Below are 24,671 nucleotides of genomic sequence, written 5' to 3' on the forward strand. Positions count from 1 at the left end.
GGAGGACTGCTTGAGGTCAAGAGTTCAAAACCAGCCTCGGCAACATAGCAAGACCCTGTCTCTACAAAAAATAAAAAAGTAAGGCCTGGTGCCATGGCTTATGCCTATGATCCCAGCACTTTGGGAGGCTGAGGCGGGCAGATCATCTGAGGTCAGGAGTTCGAGACCAGCCTGGTCAACATGGTGAAACCCTGTCTCTACTAAAAATACAAAAATTAGCTGGGCATGGTGCATGCCTGTAATCCCAGCTACTTGGGAGGCTGAGGCAGGATAATAGCCTGAATCCTGGAGGTGGAGGTTGCAGTGAGCCGAGATTGCACCATTGCACTCCAGCCTGGGTGACAAGAGTGAGACTCCATCTCAAAATGAATAAATAAATAAATAAAAATAAAAAGTTAGCTGGACATGCTGGTGTGTGCCTGTAATCCCAGCTACTTGGGAGGCTGAGGCAGGAGGATCGCTTGAAACCAGGAGTTCAAGGTTGCCGTGCATTATGATGGCACCACTGCACTCCAGCCTGAGCAACAGGGCAAGAGCCTGTCTCTAATAGCAATAATTATTTATTTATTATTTTTTCTTTTGAGACAGAGTCTCGCTCTGTCACCCAGGCTGGAGTGCAGTGGTGCAATCCTGGCTCACTGCAACCTCCACCTTCTGGGTTCAAGCGATTCTCCTGCCTCAGCCTCCCGAGTAACTGGGATTACAGGCACGTGCCACCACGCCCAACTGGTTTTTGTATTTTTAGTACAGACAGGGTTTCACCATGTTGGCCAGGCTAGTCTCAAACTCCTGACCTCAAGGGATCCACCCACCTCGGCCTCCCAAAGTGTTGGGATTACAGGGGTAAGACACCGTGCCTGGCCACTAATAATAATAATTTAAAAATTTCTGAAAATGATTCTGCATCTGCCAAATGTGCTGCATGAATTCTCAGCATAACTCAGTGACACAGTTTAATCCCCATTTTCCAGATGCGAAAATTGAGATTCAGAGCAGTGTAATGAACCGAGCTCACACCGCTGGTAGGTGGAGCAGGTGTGCGTGTTTTGTGCTCATGTAGGGGGTTGGGGAGTGTTCCAGCCAGCCTCTGTGCACCTGGGGTGGGGGTGGAATGAGGAGGGGGTTGTTGTGAGCCTGAGGGTCGCACTGTCTGTGGTTCTCTCCTTCCTGTCAGCTGAGCCCAGCTCCAGACTCAAGAGGAACGGCTGGGGTGATACCATCTCCTGGTTTCTGCGGGGGTGTATGTGAGTTCCCTCCCCCTGCCCCCAGCTGTGGGACTGTCCCTTCTCACAGCCACCACCAACTGACTTCCCCACAGCCTCCAGATGAGCAAAAAGGTAAAACTCCGGCATTTTCCACATCCTCAGCATCCTCCACCTCCTCAGCTGTTCGCACCCGTGCTGGGATGCAGGTAGGATGCCCCCAGTTGACAAGGGAGGAAACTGAGGCCCAGCAATGGGGAGGGACTCCCCCAGGGTCACACAGCAAGGCCATGGCTGAGCCTGGACACAGGCCCAGGGCTCAGCACAGCTGGGTCAGTGCTCAGGGGTTTGCTTCCCAGCCCTGCCGGCCCTATTTGGTTATTGCCTTGGTCTCCTGAGAAACGTGTCGGCAAATGTGGCCGCTCTGCTGCATGCGGTGGGGGTGGAAATTGAATCAGTGGCCAGAGGGAGGACCCCCAACTGCCTTCTTTCTCAGCACCACTGGTTTTGCCTCCTGGGCACCAGACGTTTGGAGGAGATAGTGGGGGCTGGGAGGGAAACTGAGGCCCAGAGTCCAGGGTCTGGGATTGGGCCCTGCTCAATAGCCCGTGTGACCTCAAGCAAGTCTCTGGGCCTCAGCGTTGCCATCTGGGAAATGCAGTCATAATCGCCTCAGCATTGCCATCTGGGAAATGCAGTCACAATCACTGCCCTTTACGCCACATGTCCCCCACCCTGGTGGGGTCAGATCAAAGGAATCAGGAGACAGAAAAAGTTTGCTGGGACTGGGAAGGACAGACACAGGAAAACAGAGCAGTGGGCAAGTGTGGCCCCTCACCGTGGAGCCTGATTCTAGTACCTCTGTGCTCTTTCCCCACCCAAGTATTGGGTCCCAGCCTCACTGCTGTTGGGAATGTGAGACAGCATCCCATGACACCCCCATCCCCCTGCCGCCCCAGTAACTCCCCACCTGGGATCCCATGATGCCCCCATCCCCCTGCCGCCCCAGTAACTCCCCACCTGGGATCCCATGATGCCCCCATCCCCCTGCTGCCCCAGTAACTCCCCACCTGGGATCCCATGACGCCCCCATCCCTCTGCTGCCCCAGTAACTCCCCACCTGAGATCCCATGTGAGCCCAGGCCTGCGGGCAGGGGATGGAGTGTGCGAATGCCTCCCCTGCCCGGCCGCAAGGTCAGAGACAGCCAGAGACACAGTGGACTGCAGAGATCGAGAGACGCGGTGGGGAGACAAAGAGACGGATAAAGAGAAGCACAGAGATGGAGAACGAAGTCAGTCAGAGAGACAGAGATGCTGGGCCAGAGTGACAGCCAGAAAGCCACGGGATGCCCAGAAGCAGAGACGTCTGCAGAGAGACAGTGATGGACAAAGAGAAACAGAAACAAGGCGGGAAACAGGAGGATCGCTTGAGCCCAGGAGATCGAGACCAGCCTGGGCAACAAAGTGAGAACCCACCCCGGTCTCTAAAAAAAAAAAAAAATCAGTTTTATTTTACTTTATTTATTTACTTATTTTTTGAGATGCAGTCTCGCTGTGTCGCCCAGACTGGAGTGCAGTGGTGCAATCTCTGCTCACTGCTATCTCCACCTCCTGGGTTCAAGCGTTTCTTCTGCCTCAGCCTCCTGAGTAGCTGGGATTACAGGTGCGTGTCACCATACCCAGCTAATTTTTTGTATTTTTAGTAGAGAGGGGTTTCACCATGTTGGCCAGGCTGGTCTCGAACTCCTGACCTCAGGTGATCCACCAGCCTCGGCCTCCCAAAGTGCTGGGATTACAGGCGTGAGCCACCACTGCACCTGGCCAAAAAAAAAAAAAAAGATTTAATTGTGCCTGGAGTCCTAGCTACTTGCCTAGCTTCTTAGGAGGCTGAGGTGGGAGGATCACTTGAGCCTGGGAAGTCAAGGCTGCAGTGAGCCGAGATTGTGCCACTGCACTCCAGCCTGGGTGACAGAGACGCTGGTGTCCAAAAGCAAAAAACAAAAAAAGAAAAAGAGTGAGAGAGAGAAAAACAGAAATGAGACAGTGATGAAGAAACAGATGCAGAGAGAGGCCCAGAGGAGAGCCAGGGATGGAGGACAGTGCAGACGGCACCCCACACTCACTGAACTTTTTGCTGGTCTTCTTGGTCCCCTCTGTCATCTTGGCAAATTGTGTGAAGCCCTTGGCCAGCTTGCGAGTGGCCACTCAAGGCTCGGGACATCAAAGTTGAGGTGCCTCTCCCACCTCCCCTTCCCCTTTCTCTTACTCGCTTCCTCTGTGTATTTTTAAACCAGTGAAACTCCCACAGCTCCACCCTCCCCACCCTCTCCGCAGGGGGCGGGGGCTGGGGCCTCTCCTAGCCCCAGCCCCTGTGGGCCGCCTCCTTGGCCTCAGCAGCAGGGGCAGGGGCCAGACCGCAAGCCCCTGGGACCTGGAAGGTCTAAGGAGCAGGCCGCAGGCTCTGGGAACGGAGCCCAGTGGGCTGGGGGCCGCTGGGGACCTGCCAACAGCTGTCAGGGGGCCTGGCCATCAGGCTGGGAAGGTGAGGGGAGTCAGGCCTGTGTGCAGGGCAGTTGCTTCTCAGCCTCTGTACCCAGGAGAGGGACTGGCAGCTGCAGATGGGAGAGTGCTGTGGTCAGGCCTGTGGACTCTGGGCCCCCCAGACCCAAGTTCCACTCTTGGCTGGCCATTTCGCCACGGTGTGACGTCCTCCCTGTGAACCGGGGGTACTCGCAGTGCCCACTTCATCGGGTTCAGCCATGGGTGTAGGGCCTGGCACAGAATCGGTGCCTACCAAAGCACAGTCACCACTTTCCAAGCTATCAGGGAGATGTCATCATGTGTTCCACTGTACTCACTGGACAGAGATGATGAAACCGAGGCACAGAGAGGCAGAGGGATTTCCCCAGGTAACACAGCTGGTTGCTGGCCCAGACTGGGCCACAACTCTCCCTTCTAGGCCCCTTAACCCACGGGCTGGTGCCTTTCCACCCTACAAACTTGCCATGTGTGCATGCTCAGGTGGGCAGACCGAGATGAGGAAATGCAACCTCCCCTCCACGGGTCATCCTGGACATCTGCAAAGGGTGTCAGCAGCTGCTGGGGCTGGGGGCGGGGCCCAAGACCCAGGGCTGCCAATCCCAGCTACTTCCACCTCCCAAGCCTCAGTCACCTGATTTCTAGAATGGGGAGAAGTGGGAGGTATGCAGCCAACCTGCCAACCAGTGGGGGTTCAACATTTTATCCTGGACCCCAGGCTGGCAACCCAGGCTGTGAGAGGAGTCCACTGCCATCTGATAGGGCACTTCCTGCATCCTCCATTAACAGTAACAGCCCCAGGGTGGGCGCGGTGGCTCACACCTGTAATCCCAGCATCTTGGGAGGCCGAGGTGGGTGGATCACCTGAGGTCAGGGGTTTGAGCACAGCCTGGCCAACATAGTGAAACCTCGTCTCTACTAAAAATACATTTTAAAAAATTAGCCGGGTGTGGTGGTGTGCAACTGCATTCCCAGCTACTCGGGAGGCTGAGGCAGGAGAATTGAACCAGGGAGGCGGAGGTTGCAGTGAGCCGAGATCGCGCCACTGCACTCCAGCCTGGCGAAAGAGGGAGACCCTATCTCAAAAAAAAAAAAAAAAAAGCAGAGGCAGACACTGGACAGACTGACAACCAAGTGTCCTAACTCCCTGGCTGGTGTCCCCTAGCGGAAGATAGAAAGTAGGTCCGCGGCTTCTGTCCCAGGATGGGGTTGCAGTGTGACTTGGGTTAGCTGCCAAGGCTATGCTGCTTCCTGGCCAGGCCTGCTCCCGACTTGCTGTGTGATCTCGCACAAGACACTTTGCCTCTCTGGGCCACAGTTTCCTCATCTGTTAAATAGAGCCACAGCAGCTCCCCCTCCATGGGGTTGTTGGGAGGGTGAGAGAAGCAAACACTGGTCCAAGCCAGCACACCGTGGGCCTCCGCGAGCCCTGGCTGTGGTTGCTGAGAGATGGACACAGATAAGGGGCAGATTGGCACAGGACAGGGAATCCTGACAGGGACAGGCAGGCACAAGGCACAAGACCTGGGAATCTCAGCCACAGAGATGCTGTGTTGCTGCGGCAGAGGCGCCTCGTCAGTGCTGGGGCCTGTCTGCTCTTGGCCCGGGCGCCAGGGCAGTTTCTGGCACCCCTAGGAGAATGAATAGGGCTCAGTGTGGTGGCTCCGCTGAGCTCAGAGCCCCCTTTGTGCTGCCTGGAGTGGCCGTTAGGAGTGCGACCGAGGACCTGCCGGTGGGTGGCTGTCCTGCAGGAGCTCTTCAGCTTGCACTGGAGGGCAGGTCAGCCCAGCCCATGGTCCCCTGTCCTGAACACCCCCGAGTGCTTTCCTGCCTCCAGGCCTTCGCTCAGGCTGGCCTCACACCACTGGGAATGCAGCTCTGCCCTCCCCGCCTCAGGCTTTTACCTCCTTTGGATCCCTACAGGTTGGCTTGAGGCTACAGTGCCCCAGAATCCCTGAACTTTTTTCTTTTTCTTTTCTTTTTTTTTTTTTTTGAGACAGAGTCTTAAAAAAACTTACGACAGAGACTTAAAAAAAAAAAACAAAACTTGTCACCCAGGGTAGAGTTCAGTGGCGCAATCTTAGTACTGCAACCTCCGCCTCCTGAGTTTAAGCAATTCTCCTGCCTCAGCCTCCTGACTAGCTGAGATTACAGGCGTGCCCCACCACGCCCGGCTAATTTATTTATTTATTTTTTAGTAGAGACGGGGTTTCACTATGTTGCTCAGGCTGGTCTCGAACTCCTGACCTCAGGTGATCCTCCAGCCTCAGCCTCCCAAAGTGCTGGGATTACAGGCGTAAGCCACCACGCCCAGCCCCCTGCTCTCACTTCTGTCCCCTATCCTTGCCCCTCTTCCTCAGTCTGTGACTCAAGCAGGGATAGTGTTGGGGGGCCTATGGAGAGGAGGGAGAAGACAGGCTCACAGACAGGGCAGAGTTGGAGACCTTAAACTTCATCGTCAAAGGCATCAGGCCCACGCAATCCTGGGTTCAATCCCCACCTCCATGACCTTGGGCAAGTCATGTCACCTCTCTGAGCCTCTTTTTTTTTTCCCCATCAGTAAAATAGGATAAATATAACATCCCTTACATGATCTCATGGCAGCAAAATAAAATATTTATACCAAGAGTATCATTTTGATTTAATCCCCTTGTGTCTTTATTTGCATGTTCCGAACAGACCTGAAGCCTTCTGAGAGAGGCCGGGGCCTTACCCATCCACACTAGCCCCCTTCCATATGAGGACTGGATCATGGGTGCTCAACAGATGCTTCTCCCTCAGTTGACCTGACATTGGGGACAGTGTGGGATGATGGCAAATGACCCTGGGCTTTGAGAGTAAAGAAACCTGGCTTTAAATCCCAGCTTCATAGCTTCCTGGCTGTGTAGCCTGGGGCAGGCCACACCAATCTGGGCCTCAATTTCCCCTTTCGTAACTTGGGTCTAATAATAACAACCTCCTAATAGGGCTGCTGGAGAGTTTCAGGGAGACAATGCAAGTCAACCCCAGGCCAGGCACTGAGTCAGTTCCTGGCTAGTGTGGGCAGAACTTCTGTGATTAATTGATTGATTGGAGACAGAGTTTCGCTCTTGTTGCCCAGGCTGGGTGCAGTCTCCAGATCTCAGCTCACCGCAACCTGCTCAGACTCTGCAATCACTCCCGGACTCAAGTGAGTCTTCTGCCTCAGGCCTCCTGAGTAGCTGGGATTACAGGCGCCACCACGTCTGGTTAATTTTCTGTATTTTTATTAGAGACGGGGTTTCATCATGTTGGCCAGGTTGGTCTCGAACTCCTGACCTCAGGTGATCCACCTGCCTCAGCCTCCCAAAGTGCAGGGATTACAGGCATGAGTCACCGCACCCGGCCAATTATTATTATTATTATTATTATTACTATTATTATTATTATTGAGATGGAGTCTCATTCTTGCCCAGACTGGAGTGCAGTGGCACAATCCTGGCTCACTGCAACCTCCACCTCCCAGGTTCCAGTGATTCTCCTGACTCAGCCTCCCAAGTAGCTGGGATTACAGATGCACGCCATCACACCCAGCTAATTTTCCTACTTTTAGTAGAGACGGGGTTTCGCCATGTTGGCCAGACTGGTCTCGAACTCCTGACCTCAGGTGATTCACCTGCCTCCTCCTCCAAAAGTGGGGATTACAGGTATGAGCCACTGCAAACAGGCAACTTTTGTGATTTTAGAGGGTTGTGGGTATCACAGGCTGTTCTCCGTCCTGTACCCCTGCTATCCAGTTGACCCACTGTCTCTTCAGATGCACCAAAAGCCAAGAGCAGCCCATTCCATGAACCCATCTTCTCCTTCCCTCCTATGCTTCCCGTCTGTCTCTGCTCAGAGGAAAACAGGGGGTCCAGGCTGGGGTCAGACAGCTGTCCAGCGCCTCCCTTTCCTGTGCTGCCCTCACCTTCTCTGTTAAATGGCAGCAGGACCAGCGGCTCTCTTGGGGCAGACATCTACCAAGGACTGGCCACATGCCCAGCCTTGCCAGCTTAGCCGACCCCTGGGAAGCAGGAAACGTTTCCAGTCAATGAGAAATCACTCATTTCTTCTTATTTCTGCCTGGGTTTTGCCAGCTTGGTGATCTGGGGCCCCGGACCTGGGCAGCCTGGGTAGCTTTCTGACAGGCTTCCGGCCTTTCCTGCCTCTCTTGCCTGCCTGCATCCCACAGTGGGGACTGAGGCCCTGAGGCCCCAAGGGGAAGTGGCGGGCGGATGCTGGGGTTCAGACGAGGGATGGCGGGGTGTAGGTGACAACTCCACCGGAACTTCTGCTAGGGCCTTTGCCCACAGGATGTGACTTAGGGAGGGCTCATGGGAAACGGCAGGCCCTGGCTTGAGATGTAGTCGGATAATGGAGGCCACACAAGCCCACCGCAGATCCCCGCCCACCGCACTACTGCTCAGACCCCAGCAATGCCGTGGCTCCACCCCTAGGCCAGATGGGCAGGGCCCCGAGATGGGGAAGTGCTGGGGTTTGTGCCAGACTGACCTGGTTCAAATACCAGTATGGTCACTGACCAGCTGTTTGACCCAGGCCAAGTGATGTCACCTCGGGATCCTGATGTGTACAATGGAGGTGACAACAGTACCCATGTGGTTGAGTGGCAACCGAGATAATTCCCATAAAGTGCCAAGTGTAGGGCTTGGACCATTTATTTTCCGTCAATAAGTTGTCATTACTAAAATTTTTATGGTCTCACTCCTTATCCTCCCCACCTCCAATTTAGGGAACAGCCTCCTGCTTCTAATAGTGTAAGCCATGAAGCCGACCCTACGTCACTAACTGCCTAAACCCCTCTCTTGCTTCACGTTACTCTCAGGAGAGGGCTCCTTCCTCCTCAGCCTGACCTTCCAGCCCCTCCCTGGTAGTGCCCTTCCCCAGAACAAGACCTCTTGTGACATCAAGGTCACCAAAGCCATTCCTGCCTCCTCCTAGGAGGCTTTGAGGCTAAGCAGTGTGGGGTGAGAGCTGGGAGCCACCCCGAGGGCTTTTTTTTGAGACGGAATCTCTCTCTGTCACCAGGCTGGAGTGCAGTGGCAAGACCTCGGCTCACTGCAACCTCCACCTCCTGGGTTCAAGCAATTCTCCTGCCTCAGCCTCCCAAGTAGCTGGGACTACAGGCGCCCAATACCACGCCTGGCTAATTTTTGTCTTTTTAGTAGAGACGGGGTTTCAACATATTGGCCAGGCTGGCTCCAACTCCTGACCTTGTGATCCGCCTGCCTTGGTCTCCCAAAGTGCTGGGATTACAGGCGTGAGCCACCGCGCCCACTCCAATGGCTTCTTGCAGGAAGAGAGGGTAACGAGAGTCTGGGGGAGTGTAGGATCAGGGGAGCACCGCCCTGAACGCAGAAAGGCTTGGGGAGACAGTAGAGAGATTTGCATGGCCACAGCTTGAGGGGTGGGGTGTGAACTGGAAAGAGCCTCCAATGTCACATTCAGGTTCTTCGGGGACAGAGAGGCCAGACTGGGGGGCTAGGTCTCAGGATCCACCCGCAGAGGGCTGGAGAGGAGGGGGCAGATTGAAGCGGGGCAGAGGAGGCAGAAAAGACGGCTTTGCTGGAGGCTGTCCTTGGGCAGAGCTGGAGGGGGAATCTGGGGGCCGCTGGAGCCAGGAAGATGCGAGGGAAGGGATGGGCGCGATGGGGGAGGGAGATGGGGGGGGTGAACGGTGAGCTCGCGCCTGCATAAGGACAGCAGGCCTCCCCACTGCTATCCTCCTGGCCCAACAGCGAATAGCGTGAGTCAAGAGAATCCCCTCACTCAGACACCCAGGTTCGGGTCCCAACTTTGTCGCCGTGTGACCTTGGGCAAATGACCTCACCTCTGAGCCTCAACGTCTTCTTCTGCAAAATGGGTTAGTGATCCTGACTATGGGGCTGTTGATTCAGGATTCGGCGGGAACGCCCAGCACTTCCTGAGTACACAAGAGTGCTGAGAAAATGGTAGCTGTTTTTTGCGATTACTGACTCGGGGCCCGACCAGCTCTGGCACGACTCAGCGGAGGTGGGAGTCCTGCGGGTCCCATCCCTGCCTCCCGGAGAGCCAGACCCCAGCGATAGAAGGCCCGGGCGTTGCTTGCTCGTCGCCGCTAGTGCCGCCGCGCCCCCTGGCGGCCGTCGGTTGCCATGTCAACGGAGGGTGGCGGGGACCGGGGGAGGCGGAGGCGGGGGCCGTTCTCTCCTCCCAGGGCCGGAGGACGCTCCCTCCGCGCCTCCCGCCTTCGCCTCTGTGGGGGCACTCCGAGCCGGGGAGGAAGGGGCTTTCCGCTGCAGCCGACATGTGGGGGTAAACTGAGGCACGCGGCAGGGCGCCCGCAGCCAGGTGCCGAGCGCGGGGCCCCACCTCCGAAGGCGGAGGAGGGGCCGCGGGCGGTGACGCGCCGAGGGCGGCCGGCGGACAGCGAGCGGGCGGGCGGTGGCGGCGGCGGCAGGTGCGGCCGCGGAGGGTGGGAGGGAGGAGGGCGGGGGCGGGCGGAGGAGGAGGGGAGGGCGAGGCCGGGCACCTCCCCCTTTATAACGCGCCCCCTCCTGGGCTCTCGGGCCGTCTCCTAGTCGGCTCTTCCCGTCTCGCCCCCTCGCCCGGCCGCCCCGGGCCCGGGTCCGGCCAGGGAGCTCCCAGGCCGCGGCTCGGGGGCTGACCCCCCGCCCGCCGCCCCGCGCAGCCCGGCGGAGGCGGCGCCGTCGGAGGAGGAGGAGCAGGGCACTGCGGCTGGCCCCGGATCGGGCGCCAGAGCGGCAGCAGCTTCGGCAGCAGCGGCGGCCCGGGCCCATGCAGCGGGACGCGCCACCCCGAGCCCCAGCTCCGGCGCCCCGGCTCCCCGCGCCCCCGATCGGGGCCGCCGCTAGTAGTGGCGGCGGCGGAGGCGGGGGCAGCGGCGGCGGCGGCGGAGGCGCCTCTGCAGCTCCGGCTCCCCCTGGCCTCTCGGGAACTACAAGTCCCAGGGGGCCTGGCGGTGGGCGGCGGGCGGAAGAGGCGGGGTCGGCGCCGCGAGGCCGGAAGTGGCCGTGGAGGCGGAAGTGGCGCGGCCGCGGAGGGGCCTGGAGTGCGGCGGCGGCGGGACCCGGAGCAGGAGCGGCGGCAGCAGCGACTGGGGGCGGCGGCGGCGCGTTGGAGGCGGCCATGGCAAAGCAGTACGACTCGGTGGAGTGCCCTTTTTGTGATGAAGTTTCCAAATACGAGAAGCTCGCCAAGATCGGCCAAGGCACCTTCGGGTAAGGCTGGGCCCCTCGGGGCCGGGAGCCCTGGGCCTGCACCCCTAGGGCCGACGTCGGGATGCCCGGGCCCCCCCCGAGTTGGTAGAGAAGTCGTCTGTCCCCGGGCTTGCCTGCTGGTCTCTAGGCCGCGCCGCACCCCGCCCCGGCCTGACGGAGCCGGCTGGTGGGGAGGAGCCTGAGGCCCGTGGTGGGGGCGGGGAGGGGCTGCAGAGAGGCGCCCGTGAGGGGAGCGGGATCTCTCCAAGGGACGCCCAAGTGAGGAGAAGGGACTGAGGGAAGGAAGCAGAGGCTCCGAACGAGACAGGCTGCCGGGTGGCGGGGTAGCCGCGTGCCCTGGGTACCTAGCCCAGCCCCGCCCGGGAATCTCTTTGCTGCTGCCCCTCCTCCTGTAGTGGGGGAGGGGCGGGCCCTGCGGAAATGGCCTGATGAGTTCTCGGGTCTCCCTTTCCGCCTGCAGGGAGGTGTTCAAGGCCAGGCACCGCAAGACCGGCCAGAAGGTGGCTCTGAAGAAGGTGCTGATGGAAAACGAGAAGGAGGGGGTGAGTACGGATCGGGCGTGCGGGCCGGCCGGCTAACTGCCCGGGACCCCGGGTCGGTTTTCCACCCTGCTGCTTCTGGGAGTCTCAGGTTGAGATTTAATTTTTTTGTAGTAGTTCAGAAATTTCCAGGGAATGTGGCTTCCACCCTAAAACTAAATGTTTCATTCTTAGGCAGTTATGGGTGAGGCCAGGAGGGGGAGTTGATGCATGCATCGTGTGCACTTTATTTCACGAAGTTAGGAAGCCTTTAAACACCTTTTTTTAGTGTTAAATTTCGCTTAATGTAAAAGAAAGATTATATATGCATGCTTTTTGAAAGGTGTCTGATACTCAATTATTTAATGTATTTAAAAGGAGCGGTCCCTTCTCCACCCCATCTTAGCTCTAGTACAACTTCCCATAAACCTTCTTTTGCGTAATGTGCATTAGCAAGGACATTTTTAAATCATCATGTTTGTTGCCAACGAAACAGCCATAGAGCTGAAATTTGAAGACTGAAACCGCCGAGCGTTTAGTGGCTAATAGCAAAGTATTGCTGTTTCAGTTTGTTGTCTCAAACCATCATCTTGAAGTGTGCATGCTACTAATATCCATTTTATAGACAAGGCTTCTGAGACAGCTGGTTTCAGAGCCCATGATCTTGCTCTGTCTCCCAACTTGGCTGTCAGTACAGACCCCAGGGCTGGGCTCTGTACTGCGCTCACTCTTGACCACTTTCCCCTCTTTCTCACCCAGTTCCCCATTACAGCCTTGCGGGAGATCAAGATCCTTCAGCTTCTAAAACACGAGAATGTGGTCAACTTGATTGAGATTTGTCGAACCAAAGGTAAGTTATTTGGTTCTTACGAGAAGATGACACTTGTAGCCTAAGGTTTTGTTTGTAAACTTGGAACTAGGCACACCTAAACTGCCTCTTCTTAACTCAGATGGACCCATGGTGACTGCTTTTTCTGGTCCTCTTTCATCGTAGCTGGTGCTTCCTCGGGGCCTGCCCTGGCCCAGAAGAGGCACTCAGAAAATATTTGACCGGTGAAGGAAGGAACAGACAGATGCTCTGGAGGGCATGGGTGCCCGTGGGTTGGAGCAGGAAGAAAGAAGCTGGTTGTGGGAAAGTGTGTTGGGTGTGGTTTTCTTGACTTTTTCTTCTTTCTATTCCTGCCTCAGCTTCCCCCTATAACCGCTGCAAGGGTAGTATATACCTGGTGTTCGACTTCTGCGAGCATGACCTTGCTGGGCTGTTGAGCAATGTTTTGGTCAAGTTCACGCTGTCTGAGATCAAGAGGGTGATGCAGATGCTGCTTAACGGCCTCTACTACATCCACAGAAACAAGGTGGGGGCCAGAGCTGGGAGGAGGACCCAGGCTTGGGCTGGTCTTGGCTCCCACTCCCGGGTGGATGTCACTAAAGGACCCACTCTTGCCCTTCCTGCAGATCCTGCATAGGGACATGAAGGCTGCTAATGTGCTTATCACTCGTGATGGGGTCCTGAAGCTGGCAGACTTTGGGCTGGCCCGGGCCTTCAGCCTGGCCAAGAACAGCCAGCCCAACCGCTACACCAACCGTGTGGTGACACTCTGGTACCGGCCCCCGGAGCTGTTGCTCGGTGAGGACTCCCGAGCGGGCCAAGGGGGGTGAGGGCCAGGCATCTACCTGGCCCCTTCCCCCCAACTGCCAGGGCTTCTTGAGCTGCCGGCCCTGGGGCATTGAGCCTCAGGAGGCCCTCGGGCTCAAGGGGCCCTCCTGGTGCGCTCTTCTTCCCAGGGGAGCGGGACTACGGCCCCCCCATTGACCTGTGGGGTGCTGGGTGCATCATGGCAGAGATGTGGACCCGCAGCCCCATCATGCAGGGCAACACGGAGCAGCACCAACTCGCCCTCATCAGTCAGCTCTGCGGCTCCATCACCCCTGAGGTACGGGGCCCCGGTCCCCACGGGGTGCAGAGATCGAGGTCCCCCGGCAGAGGAGGAGTGGGGAGTAGAATGGAAGGAGCGCTCCTCTCTGGAAGGGAGGCTGGTTTGGTGACAGGGCCTGTCTTGGGGTGGGGAGTGTGTGGGAGAAAAAAACACCTGACACAGGCTGTGCGCCAGTCTCGGTTCCATCAGCTGTTCTGTGGCCTTGGGCAGAACATCTGAGTCAGCGCTGGGTTTCTCTTCTGTGAACCAGAAATGTGACGTGTATCAGGGTTGGAGCCCATATTCCAGGTGATGTGGGTGGAAGGACCTGGCACGTGGTATGTGCCAATCCATAGCGGGCACTGCTTCTGGGAGGGGTCGAGTAGCAGTCTGGGAGCCTCCGAGTGGAGCAGGTATTTTAGTCCTTTTAGGCCTTTATGAAGGGATAAGCCACGCACCTCCTGACCGGACTCCATATTCTCTCAACGCCCCCTCCCTCCCAGGTGTGGCCAAACGTGGACAACTATGAGCTGTACGAAAAGCTGGAGCTGGTCAAGGGCCAGAAGCGGAAGGTGAAGGACAGGCTGAAGGCCTATGTGCGTGACCCATACGCACTGGACCTCATCGACAAGCTGCTGGTGCTGGACCCTGCCCAGCGCATCGACAGCGATGACGCCCTCAACCACGACTTCTTCTGGTCCGACCCCATGCCCTCCGACCTCAAGGGCATGCTCTCCACCCACCTGACGTCCATGTTCGAGTACTTGGCACCACCGCGCCGGAAGGGCAGCCAGATCACCCAGCAGTCCACCAACCAGAGTCGCAATCCCGCCACCACCAACCAGACGGAGTTTGAGCGCGTCTTCTGAGGGCCGGCGCTTGCCACTAGGGCTCTTGTGTTTTTTTTCTTCTGCTATGTGACTTGCATCGTGGAGACAGGGCATTTGAGTTTATATCTCTCATGCATATTTTATTTAATCCCCACCCTGGGCTCTGGGAGCAGCCCGCTGAGTGGACTGGAGTGGAGCATTGGCTGAGAGACCAGGAGGGCACTGGAGCTGTCTTGTCCTTGCTGGTTTTCTGGATGGTTCCCAGAGGGTTTCCATGGGGTAGGAGGATGGGCTCGCCCACCAGTGACTTTTTCTAAGAGCTCCCGGCGTGGTGGAAGAGGGGACAGGTCCCTCACCCACCCACAATCCTATTCTCGGGCTGAGAACCCTGCGTGGGGACAGGGCTCGCCTCAGGAATGGGCTGTTTTTGGCCTAACCCTCAGAAACACTGGGGCTGGCACAAACTCTTGGTTTCTTCAACAGGAGAATTTTACTGTGTTTCTTTTGGTTCCATTGTTTGGAGACATTCCTGGGCACAGTTTGGTCCGTTAGAATTAAAAGTTGAATTTTTTTTTTTTTTAAATTTTTTTTTTTCCTCCAGGACTTGTGTGTTTTGTTCTGCGCACACACCGCCAACTGTTCCCCCACAGTCAGCAGCAGGTTGGGCCTGACCATTGGGACTTGATTGTCAAGTCACTGGAGGTCTTGACTTTTTTATCTCAGTTCATGTTCTCTTCCATAATTGGAAAGGACCTTTGTCTGTTTTTCCTCTTGGGTGCCTTCCAGAACGCATCTCATGTCCCTGGTGAGGGAATTGGTGAGGGCCTGCTGTGAGCTGCTGTGGCTGCGATGGTCACCCAGCTGGGCAAATCACTGGAGTGACAATTTGACCTGTCACCTGAGAAGGATGGTCCCTCAGACTGCTGGGTAGAGGGCCTGGGGCAGGCTGGAGAGAGAAAGTGGGCAGAGGGTGAAGGGATCACAGGGGTCTTGGAAGGTGGCAGTAGTTTGGACGGGGGTGGGGAGTATGTGGGAGAAAAAAACAGACTGAAGGTAGAATCCTTGGGAACCTTTGAGGAGCGGCACATTCTGGCAGGCACGTTTTCTGTGAGCCTGAAGTTAGGAAGAGACATTCTGGAGGTCAATTTCCTACATCCTCTTACAGGCGGAGACCTTGAAGTGGGGCCAGGAAGGAAGGTTGGCAAAACCTTTGACCAGAACTGTCCTTCATTTACAGAAACTGACCCAGACCACAACACAAAAGGCCAGTAAAAGTAAGAAAAAAAAATTTTTTTTTTTTTTTTGGAGACGGAGTCTCACTCTGTTGCCCAGGCTGAAGTGCAGTGGTGAGATCTCGGCTCACTGCGACTTCTGCCTCCCGGGTTCAAGTGATTCTCCTGTCTCAGCCTCCTGAGTAGCTGGGATTACCACCCACCACCACACCCAGCTAATTGTATGTTTAGTAAAGATGGGGTTTCGCAGTCTTGGCCAGGCTAGTCTCGAACTCCTGACCTCGGGTGATCCACCCACCTCAGCCTCCCAAAGTGCTGGGATTACAGGTGTGAGCCACTGTGTCCAGCCAAGGAAAAAATTCTTGATTGGTGTATTTGTTTTCCTGAGACTTCTATAACTAATTGCTACAAGCATGCTAGCTTAAATTAACAGATTTATTCTGTTGGTTCCCAAAGTCATTGGTGGCAGGGTTGGTTCCTTCTGGAGGATCTGAGGGAGAGAGAATCCTTCCCGTGACTCCTGGTGGCTGCTGGCAGTCCTTGCATCCCTTAGGCTTGTAGAGTCGTCACTCCGGTCTCTGCCTGTGTTCACATGGCATTCTTCACTCTGTCTCTTTTTTTTTTGAGATGGAGTTTCACTCTTGTTGACCAAGCTGGAGTGCAATGGCATGATCTTGGCTCACTGCAACCTCCGCTTCCTGGGTTCAAGTGATTCACCTGCCTCAGCCTCCCTAGTAGGTGAGATTACAGGCGCCTGCCACCACGCCTGGCTAATTTTTGTATTTTTAGTAGAGACGGGGTTTCACCATGTTGGCCAGGCTGGTCTCGAGCTCCTGACCTCAGGTGATCCACCTGCCTCGGCCTCCCAAAGTGCTGGGATTACAGGCATGAGCCACCACGCCCGGCCTATGTGTCTGTCTTGTATGGACACCAGTCTGGATTTAGGGGCCACCCTAACCCAGTTTGACCTCATCTTAACCGATTACATCTGCAAAGACCCTCTTTCCAAATAAGGTCACATTCTGAGGTTTGGAGAGGACATGAATTCGGGGGGCACACTTCAACCCAGTATAAGTAGTCAAATAAATCCAAATTGGCCAGGCGCAGCGGCTCACACCTATAATCCCAGCACTTCGGGAGGCCAAGGCGGGCGGATCACGAGGTCAGGAGTCGGAGGTTGCAGTGAGCCAAGATTGAGCCACTACTCCAGCCTGGGTGACAACAGCAAGACTCTGTCTCAAAAAAAAAAAAAAAAAAATTAGCTGGGCATGGTGGTGCACGCCTGTAGTCCCAGGTACATGCCTGTAGTCCCAGCTGCTCAGGAGGCTGAGGCAGGAGAATCACTTGAACTAGGGAGGCGGAGGTTGCAGTGAGCTGAGATCGTGCCACTGCACTCCAGCCTGGTGACAGCGAGACTCCCGTCTCAAAAAAAAAAAAAAAAAAATCCAGGCTGGGTGTGGTGGCTCAGGCCTGTAATCCCAACACTGGGAGGCCAAGGTGGGTGGATCACCTGAGGACAGGAGTTCGAGACCAGCCTGGCCAATATGGTGAAACTCCATCTCTACTAAAAAAAATTAGCCGGGTATGGTGGCGCATGCCTGTAATCCCAGCTACTTGAGAGGCAGAGGTGGGAGAATCGCTTGAACCCAGGAGGCAAGAGATTGCAGTAAGCTGAGATGACACCACTGCATGCCAGCCTGGGCGACAGAGCGAGACTTATCAAAAAAAAAAAAAAAAATCGAAATTAAAGCTGTTGTGTGCTGTCCTGACAGCAGTCACTAGGAATTGAGTGTGGATAAACTCACAGGGCTGGCCTAATTGTATTTTCTTTGAAGGATAAAAAGCTTCTCTAAAAGGTTCATATTCTTTGACTCAGCAATTCCACTTACAGGAATTTTTTAAGAGCAATTACACAATGATAGTCTTTATCTCATTGAACACTCACTGCAATTTCGATGGTCTCATTCGTTCATTGAGCATATTTATTAGGTGTGTCTTCCAAGGGTCATCCCATTCGGGACTTAATACAGCTGGAAACAGTGGTGGCCCGCCCCCACCCCAGTGGAGCTCACCTTCCAGTAGGTCTAAACTGGTTTGATTGAGTTCCATGGAAAACAACAAAGTGGGGTAAGGGGAAAAGTAGTGGGGAGCTGAGGGGGTCAGCATGACATGGAAGCAGAAATCAAGAGACAAGGCTTTGTGGGGTGTGGGTGTGGGTCCAAGTGCCAAGGGCCAGGGAGCTTTGTAGAGTGTGTGGTTATGTTTCTCAGTGTTTCCTCATAGTTGGTTAACTAATACATTTGTTCATGCAATTAAGCCATCTTTTCATTTTCTAACATTTTTAAAAATACATATATTTTTTAGAGATGGGGGTCTCGCTTTGTTGCCTAGGCTGGTCTCCAGCTCCTCAGCTCAAGGGATCCTCCTGCCTTGGCCTCCCAAAGTGCTGGGATTATAGGTGTGAGCCACCAGGCCCAGCCAATTAAGCTGCATTTTAAAACAACCAAGACAGACCTTAAACCTTGGAGCTGCTGACCCAAGCTCATCCTCACCCCTCTTCCCCAGAGTCTACCCCAGGGAGGAACAGGGACTGGCCAGTCAGGTGAGGGTTCTCTAGCTTTGGCCTCAAGCTCTGGTGTGACATGGGTGCTGTTTTCACCTGTGGAGGGAGGTATGTCGCCTGGAATAAAGGCTCGCCAGAGGGCAGGGCCTTGTGCGGCTTTTCTCAGCACCTAGATAGTGCCTGGCACCATGTTCTCAGCACCTAGATAGTGCCTGGCACACATGAGTCTCTGGGATACAGTGGAGTGAGTGCAGTGAACAGATGGCTGAGGAGGCTGTGTAGATGGGAAAGGCCTTCGCCAGCTCGCGGGGATGAGCTTAGGCCGGGGGACTGAGTTCTGTGTCCTGGCTTTTTGTTTGTTTTTTAAGAGCCTGGAGTCACATCCTGCCCTTTTTTTTTTTTTAAAGGAAAAATGGTGGTTTTATTCATTTGTACTTAAACCAGCCAAAGTAGTACTGATGTGATTATGATTCAGCAAATACAAGATCTCTTTCCACAAATATTAGCATAACAATCAAAATAGGGACTATAGTAAAACAGCCAAAAAGGGCTGAGGGAATCAAGTATGTTACAGTTTAACTCCACCTCAGTATAATTTTTATTTTATTATTTTTTTTTAAGACAGAGTCTGGCTCTGTCGCCCAGGCTGGATTGCAGTGGCGTGATCTCGGCTCACTACAACCTCCTCCTCCTGGGGTCAAGTGATTTTCCTGCCTCAGCCTCCCGAATAGTTGGGATTACAGGTGCCTGCCACCCACTCCTGGCTACCTGGCTTCTTTTTGCCCAAGTGATTTGGTGAAACAAAGCCTCTTCCTCCAGCGGACTTGGACTCTTAAGTCAGGGGTGTCGTGTGTCCACGCTGTACTTTGTATACGCCTCTCCCTGGCCAGGATCTCACCCTGGCAGGGCAAGGGCAAAACGGGCCCTAACTGTAAGGTGGGTGGGCTGGGATAAGGAGGCCTGGAAGAGGCCAGATAAAGCCAGCCCCAAGGTCTGGAAGCCTCCCAAGCATAGCCCCCTCCCCTCCCACCCACCTGCCTGTCTGCGTGCTTACCTTTAACCTCCACCCAGTTGTTACTTAACTCGCGGTAAGGTTCTGACCAGTCCCATGCTCCACTCCAGAAACCCGCCAGGGAGGCTAAGTCCCTGGGCTGACCCTAGGATGAGGGCAGGAACCTATCAGGTAAAACCTTTCTCCCTGCACACTGGAAAGGCCAGAACTTCTGCCCCCAGTCCTGTCAGGGGAGGGGAGGCCTTGGCGTCTCCCAAATCACGTTTTCTGGGTCAACAAGCCTCACAGCTCTAGTTAAATCCTGGGCAGAGCTGGCTTGGCAGAGATGCCCACACCTGTGCGTCACTTCGTGCCCTACCCAGAAGGGGAGCAGGAAACCAAGGGATGAAAGGTGCTGGGTCCCTGGCTGCCTCCTTGCCCATGGCTGAGAAGTTCTGGTGGGAAGGAACCATGGAGGGCCCATCTGGATATCCTTCCTCAGCTAAAACTGCCTCCTTCCAGGTAGGAGAACCCGGTGACCAGGCAGGTGGCCTTTCCTGTCTAAGCCTCAGTTTCTTGGGGGCGATGCTGCCAGCCCCTCACAGGGCTCAGCGCAGCACCCAGCATGCTTGGAGGGTGAGAACAAATTGAAAAAAGATCCCACATTTTTTTCCTCTGAAAATTTTGGTAAGACGGCCAGGTGCGGTGGCTCATGCCTGTAATCCCAGCTCTTGGGGATGCCAAGGCTGGTGGATTATGAGGTCAGGAGTTCGAGACCAGCCTGGCTAAGATGACGAAGCCCCGTCTCTACTAAAAATACAAAAATTAGCCGGGCGTGATGGTGGGCACCTGTAGTCCCAGTTAATTGGGAGGCTGAGGCAGGAGAATCACTTGAACCCGGGAGGCAGAGGTTGCGGTGAGCCGGTATCACACCACTGCACTCCAGCCTGGGCAACAGAGCGAGACTCCGTCTCAAAAAAAAAAAAAAAAGAAAAACAACCGGGCATGATAGCGCATGTCTGTAATCCCAACCACTCTGGAGGCTGAGGCAGGAGAATCTCTTGAACCCGGGATGTGGAGGTTGCAGTGAGCCGAGATCAGGTCCCTGAACTCCAGCCTGGGCAACAGAGTGAGACTCTGTCTCAAAAACAAACAAAAAAAAAAAGTCGGGCACGGTGGCTCACACTTGTAATCCCAGCACTTTGGGAGGCCAAGGTGGATGTATCACGAGGTCAGGAGATCGAGACCATCCTGGCTAACACGGTAAAACCCGGTCTCTACTAAAAATACAAAAAAATAGCCGGGCGTGGTGGCAGGCACCTGTAGTCCCAGCTACTCGGAGGCTGAGGCAGGAGAATGGCATGAACCCGGGAGGCGGAGCTTGCAGTGAGCTGAGATCACGCCACTGCACCCCAGCCTGGGCTACAGAGCAAGACTCCGTCTCAAAAAAAAAAAAAAAAAAAAAAAAAAAAAAAATCCTCATCCTCCTAAAGAGGAGACTAGGGGTCAGACAGGATCACAGAGGGAAGTGTCTTGCCCATGGTCACACAGCAGTTCGACAGCAGAGAGGGCCAGGGTGACCAGACAGGTGGTGGTAAGGTGCAAGGACCAACATTAAAGTCAGTAATCTGGGTTTGAATCGGCTTTGCCACGTCCATGTGCCTGCTGTATTCCTGGGTGAGTTGATTAACCTCTCTGAGCTTCCATTTTTCCACCTGTAAAATAGGGATCATCTGTAATTCACACAATTTTCATGAGATTCCAGGTGCCAAACACAGGGATAAGTGCTTAATAAATGTTTATTTGTTTTGAGACAGCGTCTTACTCTGTCACTCTGTTGCCCAGGCTGTAGCGCAGTGGCGCCATCTTGGCTCACTGCAACCTCCGCCTCCCTGGTTCAAGGGATTCTCCTGCTTCAGCCTCCCAAGTAGTGGGACTACCGGAGTGTGTCACCAGGCCCAACTAATTTTTGTAATTTTAGTAGAGATGCGGTTTCACTGTTGTGGCCAGGCTGGTCTGAAACTCCTGGCCTCAAGCGACTGACCCACCGTGGCTTCCCAAAGTGCTGGGATTACAGGTGTGAGCCACTGCTCCCAGCCGAGTGCCTACTTAATAAATGTTAACAAGAAAAACCCACCCCAAAAAAGGAAAGAGGACAAACACAAGGCAAGGGTGTTTCAGCAGAGGCAAACATCGCGAGCAAAAGCTTGCAGGTGGGAGAGGCCAAGGCCAGTTGCTGAAGTCCTTGCCAGCTGGCAGGGACTGTGCCCTGTAAGTGGGGGATGAGTCCAGAGGCAGGCAGGGACCAGGCCACAGTGAACTTGTGGGTTTTATTAATCCCAAGTGTATGACGGGGCAGGAGAGAGTGTAGTATCCCAGGCAGATCTGAGTTCAGAAAGACCTGACCCACTCTGTCTGTCTCTCTCTCAGCCTTAGCCTGCCACTCTACAGTGGTTACCATCTGACCTGATCAGGGTTTGTAAATCTGTATATTCCTTTGTGAATTTCTTTATTTGCTGCCCTCTCACCCCCAGGACTGGGTGCTCTGTGAGCAGTACCTTGTCTTCTGTTCTCCACAGTGACCCCAGCATCTAGTCCAGGGTCTGGCAGAGATAATTTCTTCCAATGAATAAGTGAATGAATGACATCGTTTCCCTGTGGGAAGGTGGGGATTGAGGCAGAGTTCCTCAGTCTGCTCCTACCCCAGCCCCTCCTCCTGTCCACACGCACCTGCAGATCTGCCCGCATGAGTGGGCACTGGCCCACTTACTGGTTCCCCTGCCCCCTTTGTTTTCTATTGTTCTTCCTGGAGAGAGAGAACGCAGTGCCTTCGTGGTCACCAAAAGGCCAACGGCGATTCCCTCTCCAGCTGCATGATGAAGATCCCTTTGATTTTTCCGTTTACAGTTTCTTCTAGTTCCTTCTATAAATATTTGTGGCTTTTCAAGTAAAAAGCCACAAAGGAGGTGAGTGGGCTGTAAAGGAAACAAAACAGCTTTTTTTTTTTTTTTTTGAGATGGAGTCTCACTCTGTCGGCCAGGCTGAAGTGCAGTGGCGCGATCTGGGCTCACTGCAACCTCTGCCTCCCGGGTTTAAGTGATTCTCCTGCCTCAGCCTCCCTAGTAGCTGGGATTACAAGCACGGACCACCATGCCTGGCTAATTTTTGTATTTTTAGTAGAGATGGGGTTTCACCATGTTGGTCAGGCTGGTCTTGAACTCCTCACCTCATGATCCACCTGCCTCAACCTCCCAAAGAGCTGGGATTGCAGGTGTGAGCCACTGCGCCCAGCCAGCTTTTTTTTCTTTTTTTGAGATAGAGTCTTGCTGTCCCTCACGTTGGAGTGCAGTGGTGCGATCTTGGCTCACTGCAGCCTCCACCTCCCAGGTTCAAACGATTCTTCTGCCTCAGCCTCCCAAGTAACTGGGATTACAGGCAGGTGCCATCACACCTGGCTAACTTGTATTTTTAGTAGAGACAGGGTTTCACCATGTTGACAGATTTTGAACCTGAGGTGATCCACCCGCCTCAGCCTCCCAAAGTACTGTGATTACAGGCAAGAGCCACTGTGCCCGGCCACAAACGGCTGTTAAACACAAAAAAAGTGTTCAGCCTCCTTCACGATAAATGTAAATGATAACTACTCAGAGAATCCATTTTTCCACCTTACGATTGGCAAGGATCAAAGCTGGCTGTGTTGCTGAAGATGTGAGGAAATGCTGGCTCATGCACTGCTGAAGTCGGGGAAACTTGTACCCCTCTGGGGGACAATGTGGCCATGTGTATAAAAATGTCAGCTGGGCGCAGTGGCTCATGCCTGTAATCCCAGCACTTTGGGAGGCCGAGGAAGGTGGATCACCTGAGGTCAGGGGTTCAAGACCAGACTGGCCAACATGGCGAAACCCCGTCTCTACTAAAAATACAAAAATTAGCCGGGTGTGATGGCACACACCTGTAGTCCCAGCTACTTGGGAGGCTGAGGCAGGAGAATTGCTTGAACCTGGGAGGTGGAGGTTGCAGTGAGCCGAGATGGCACCACTGCACTTTGGCCTGGGTGACAGAGTGAGACTCTGTCTCAGAAAAAAAAAAAAATGTCAAGTGCAGGTCACCTTTGACCCAGCAATTGCACTTGGAATTTATCCATGAAATAACCCACACAAGGAAGAAATGATGAAGGTAAAATGTTACCCACTGTAGCTTGGGTAAAATATTATCCATTGCTTGTGATAGCAAAATATTGGAAACAACCCAAATGTCCATCAATAGGCAACTGGCTGAATACACAGTAGTACTTCCACACCATGGAGTACTACACAGCTTCAAAACAAATTAGCCAACGGAGTGGCCCTTATGTACCGACACAGCCCAGAATAGGGCCCTGGTTAAAAAGGGACATGGAGAAAGTACAAGGCAGGCTTGCCTTACAGTCTGCTGCTATATGTGGGTATAAAAGGGAAATCAATATATATTTGTATTTGCTTGTAAATGCATAACATACCTCTGGAAAGGTGATAAGAAACTGATAACATTGACTGCTTTGAGAGAGAAGGATTAGGATGCTGGAATCTGGGCTCCCAGAGAGGGAGGCTTTTTGCTGTACACAGTTTTGACCCTTTAACTATTTGTTGTTTTTTGTTTGTTTTGAGAAGAGTCTTGCTCTTTCACCCAGGCTGGAGTGCAGTGGCACAATCTTGGCTCACTGCAATCTTCGCCTCCCAGGTTCAAGTGATTCCTGTGCCTCAGCCTCCGAAGTAGCTGGGATTACAGGTGCGCATCACCAAGCTTGGCTAATTTTTGTATTTTTAGTAAAGACGGGGTTTCATCATGTTGCCCAGGCTGGTCTCAAACTCCTGACCTCAAGTGATCCACCCGCCTTGGCCTCCCAAAGTGCTAGGATTATAGGCGTGAGCCACCACGCCCAGCCAGTCTTTGAACTATTTGAATGATATATTATCCAAAAAATACCAGAATTTAAAAAGAAAACATAAGAAAAAGTGTTTTTTCCAGCAATGTGGACAGGCTTTCCACCTTACACCACAGGAGGGACTCCGGCTCTGGGATCTCATTCTTGGAGGAATGGCTTAGAGCACCTATGCCACCTCCTACAGATGAGTCCACTGAGGCCACCAATAGTAGATCTGGAAAAAATACTTGCCCTACAGAGGACAGAAACTGAGGGATAATATCAGTACTACACAAAGTGCCTTTTTTTCTTTTTTTTAACTTTTTAAACATTTGATTTATTTATTTAAAAAGATGGGGGTCTCGCTATGTCACCCAGGCTGGAGTACAGTGGTGCTATCATAGCTCACTGCAGCATCGAACTCCTGGGCTCAGATTATCCTCCTTGGCCGGGCGCAGTAGCTCACGCCTGTAATCCCAGCACTTTGGGAGGCTGAGGCGGGTGGGTCACCTGAGGTCAGGAGTTTGAGACCAGCCTGCCTAACATGGTGAAATCCCATCTCTACTAAAAATACAAAAATTAGCTGGGCATGGTGGCACATGCCTGTAGTCCCAGCTACTTGGGAGGCTGAGGCAGGAGAATTGCTTGAACCCAGGAGGCGGATGTTGCAGTGAGCCGAGATTGCACCACTGCACTTCAGCCTGGGCAACAGAGTGAGACTCTGTCTCAAAAAAAAAAAAAAA

The 24,671-nt window shown here is 54.1% G+C and overlaps 2 protein-coding genes, 1 long non-coding RNA gene and 2 other non-coding genes across 10 annotated transcripts in view, besides 15 other annotated features; 4 read left to right on the forward strand and 1 right to left on the reverse strand.

Moving 5' to 3' along the window:
• Positions 1-3,401, reverse strand: part of SH2D3C (SH2 domain containing 3C) — a 40,350-nt gene extending 36,949 nt beyond the window's left edge. The window contains exon 1 of the mRNA NM_170600.3: positions 3,326-3,401. Coding sequence (NP_733745.1) covers positions 3,326-3,362 — 37 coding nt within the window. The 5' untranslated portion in view covers positions 3,363-3,401. The remainder of the gene's footprint in view (positions 1-3,325) is intronic.
• Positions 1,276-9,707, forward strand: LOC107987132 (uncharacterized). 6 transcript variants are annotated; one of them, XR_001746949.2, is made up of 3 exons: positions 1,276-2,117; positions 2,397-2,666; positions 9,494-9,707. It is a non-coding gene; the product is annotated as an uncharacterized LOC107987132 (long non-coding RNA). The 6 variants fall into 6 exon arrangements; XR_001746948.2 differs by having other exon boundaries at positions 1,276-1,411; positions 1,842-2,666; XR_001746950.2 differs by having other exon boundaries at positions 1,276-1,411.
• Positions 1,982-2,252: a silencer, noted in NCBI's record as "fragment chr9:130539526-130539796 (GRCh37/hg19 assembly coordinates)". NCBI's record gives its function as "represses an EF-1alpha promoter that drives an FKBP-Casp9 reporter gene in an ReSE screen in K562 erythroleukemia cells {active_cell/tissue: K562}" and the evidence as "EXISTENCE:reporter gene assay evidence [ECO:0000049][PMID:32094911]".
• Positions 2,474-2,563: an enhancer, noted in NCBI's record as "active region_29049". NCBI's record gives its function as "activates an Ori minimal core promoter by ATAC-STARR-seq in GM12878 lymphoblastoid cells {active_cell/tissue: GM12878}" and the evidence as "EXISTENCE:reporter gene assay evidence [ECO:0000049][PMID:35858748]".
• Positions 3,809-4,158: an enhancer, noted in NCBI's record as "active region_29050". NCBI's record gives its function as "activates an Ori minimal core promoter by ATAC-STARR-seq in GM12878 lymphoblastoid cells {active_cell/tissue: GM12878}" and the evidence as "EXISTENCE:reporter gene assay evidence [ECO:0000049][PMID:35858748]".
• Positions 8,007-8,197: a silencer, noted in NCBI's record as "fragment chr9:130545551-130545741 (GRCh37/hg19 assembly coordinates)". NCBI's record gives its function as "represses an EF-1alpha promoter that drives an FKBP-Casp9 reporter gene in an ReSE screen in phorbol 12-myristate 13-acetate-treated (for megakaryocytic differentiation) K562 erythroleukemia cells {active_cell/tissue: K562(+PMA)}" and the evidence as "EXISTENCE:reporter gene assay evidence [ECO:0000049][PMID:32094911]".
• Positions 8,007-8,266: a biological region, named in NCBI's record as "ReSE screen-validated silencer GRCh37_chr9:130545551-130545741".
• Positions 8,057-8,266: an enhancer, noted in NCBI's record as "active region_29051". NCBI's record gives its function as "activates an Ori minimal core promoter by ATAC-STARR-seq in GM12878 lymphoblastoid cells {active_cell/tissue: GM12878}" and the evidence as "EXISTENCE:reporter gene assay evidence [ECO:0000049][PMID:35858748]".
• Positions 9,575-9,794: an enhancer, noted in NCBI's record as "active region_29052". NCBI's record gives its function as "activates an Ori minimal core promoter by ATAC-STARR-seq in GM12878 lymphoblastoid cells {active_cell/tissue: GM12878}" and the evidence as "EXISTENCE:reporter gene assay evidence [ECO:0000049][PMID:35858748]".
• Positions 9,845-10,164: a silencer, noted in NCBI's record as "silent region_20310". NCBI's record gives its function as "represses an Ori minimal core promoter by ATAC-STARR-seq in GM12878 lymphoblastoid cells {active_cell/tissue: GM12878}" and the evidence as "EXISTENCE:reporter gene assay evidence [ECO:0000049][PMID:35858748]".
• Positions 10,215-10,874: a silencer, noted in NCBI's record as "silent region_20311". NCBI's record gives its function as "represses an Ori minimal core promoter by ATAC-STARR-seq in GM12878 lymphoblastoid cells {active_cell/tissue: GM12878}" and the evidence as "EXISTENCE:reporter gene assay evidence [ECO:0000049][PMID:35858748]".
• Positions 10,215-10,899: a biological region, named in NCBI's record as "Sharpr-MPRA regulatory region 7866".
• Positions 10,568-10,658, forward strand: MIR3960 (microRNA 3960). Its single transcript, NR_039767.1, has one exon. It is a non-coding gene; the product is annotated as a microRNA 3960 (primary transcript).
• Positions 10,605-10,899: an enhancer, noted in NCBI's record as "tiled region #7866; HepG2 Activating DNase unmatched - State 1:Tss, and K562 Activating DNase unmatched - State 1:Tss". NCBI's record gives its function as "activates a minimal TATA promoter and a strong SV40 promoter by Sharpr-MPRA in HepG2 and K562 cells {active_cell/tissue: HepG2 | K562}" and the evidence as "EXISTENCE:reporter gene assay evidence [ECO:0000049][PMID:27701403]".
• On the forward strand, positions 10,653-10,742 carry MIR2861 (microRNA 2861). The gene has a single exon (NR_036055.1). It is a non-coding gene; the product is annotated as a microRNA 2861 (primary transcript).
• Positions 10,769-15,527, forward strand: CDK9 (cyclin dependent kinase 9). The gene is made up of 7 exons (NM_001261.4): positions 10,769-10,975; positions 11,436-11,517; positions 12,253-12,343; positions 12,682-12,848; positions 12,949-13,120; positions 13,279-13,427; positions 13,913-15,527. Exons 1-7 carry the CDS (start codon positions 10,884-10,886, stop codon positions 14,276-14,278), a joined length of 1,119 nt encoding a protein of 372 aa, NP_001252.1. The 5' UTR covers positions 10,769-10,883; the 3' UTR covers positions 14,279-15,527.
• Positions 10,905-11,314: a silencer, noted in NCBI's record as "silent region_20312". NCBI's record gives its function as "represses an Ori minimal core promoter by ATAC-STARR-seq in GM12878 lymphoblastoid cells {active_cell/tissue: GM12878}" and the evidence as "EXISTENCE:reporter gene assay evidence [ECO:0000049][PMID:35858748]".
• Positions 10,905-11,319: a biological region, named in NCBI's record as "Sharpr-MPRA regulatory region 2041".
• Positions 11,025-11,319: an enhancer, noted in NCBI's record as "tiled region #2041; K562 Activating non-DNase unmatched - State 1:Tss, and HepG2 Activating DNase matched - State 1:Tss". NCBI's record gives its function as "activates a minimal TATA promoter and a strong SV40 promoter by Sharpr-MPRA in K562 cells, with weak activation in HepG2 cells {active_cell/tissue: HepG2 | K562}" and the evidence as "EXISTENCE:reporter gene assay evidence [ECO:0000049][PMID:27701403]".
• Positions 21,618-21,707: an enhancer, noted in NCBI's record as "active region_29053". NCBI's record gives its function as "activates an Ori minimal core promoter by ATAC-STARR-seq in GM12878 lymphoblastoid cells {active_cell/tissue: GM12878}" and the evidence as "EXISTENCE:reporter gene assay evidence [ECO:0000049][PMID:35858748]".

Source organism: Homo sapiens, chromosome 9 (assembly GCF_000001405.40).
Source record: "Homo sapiens chromosome 9, GRCh38.p14 Primary Assembly".
NCBI lineage: Eukaryota > Metazoa > Chordata > Mammalia > Primates > Hominidae > Homo > Homo sapiens.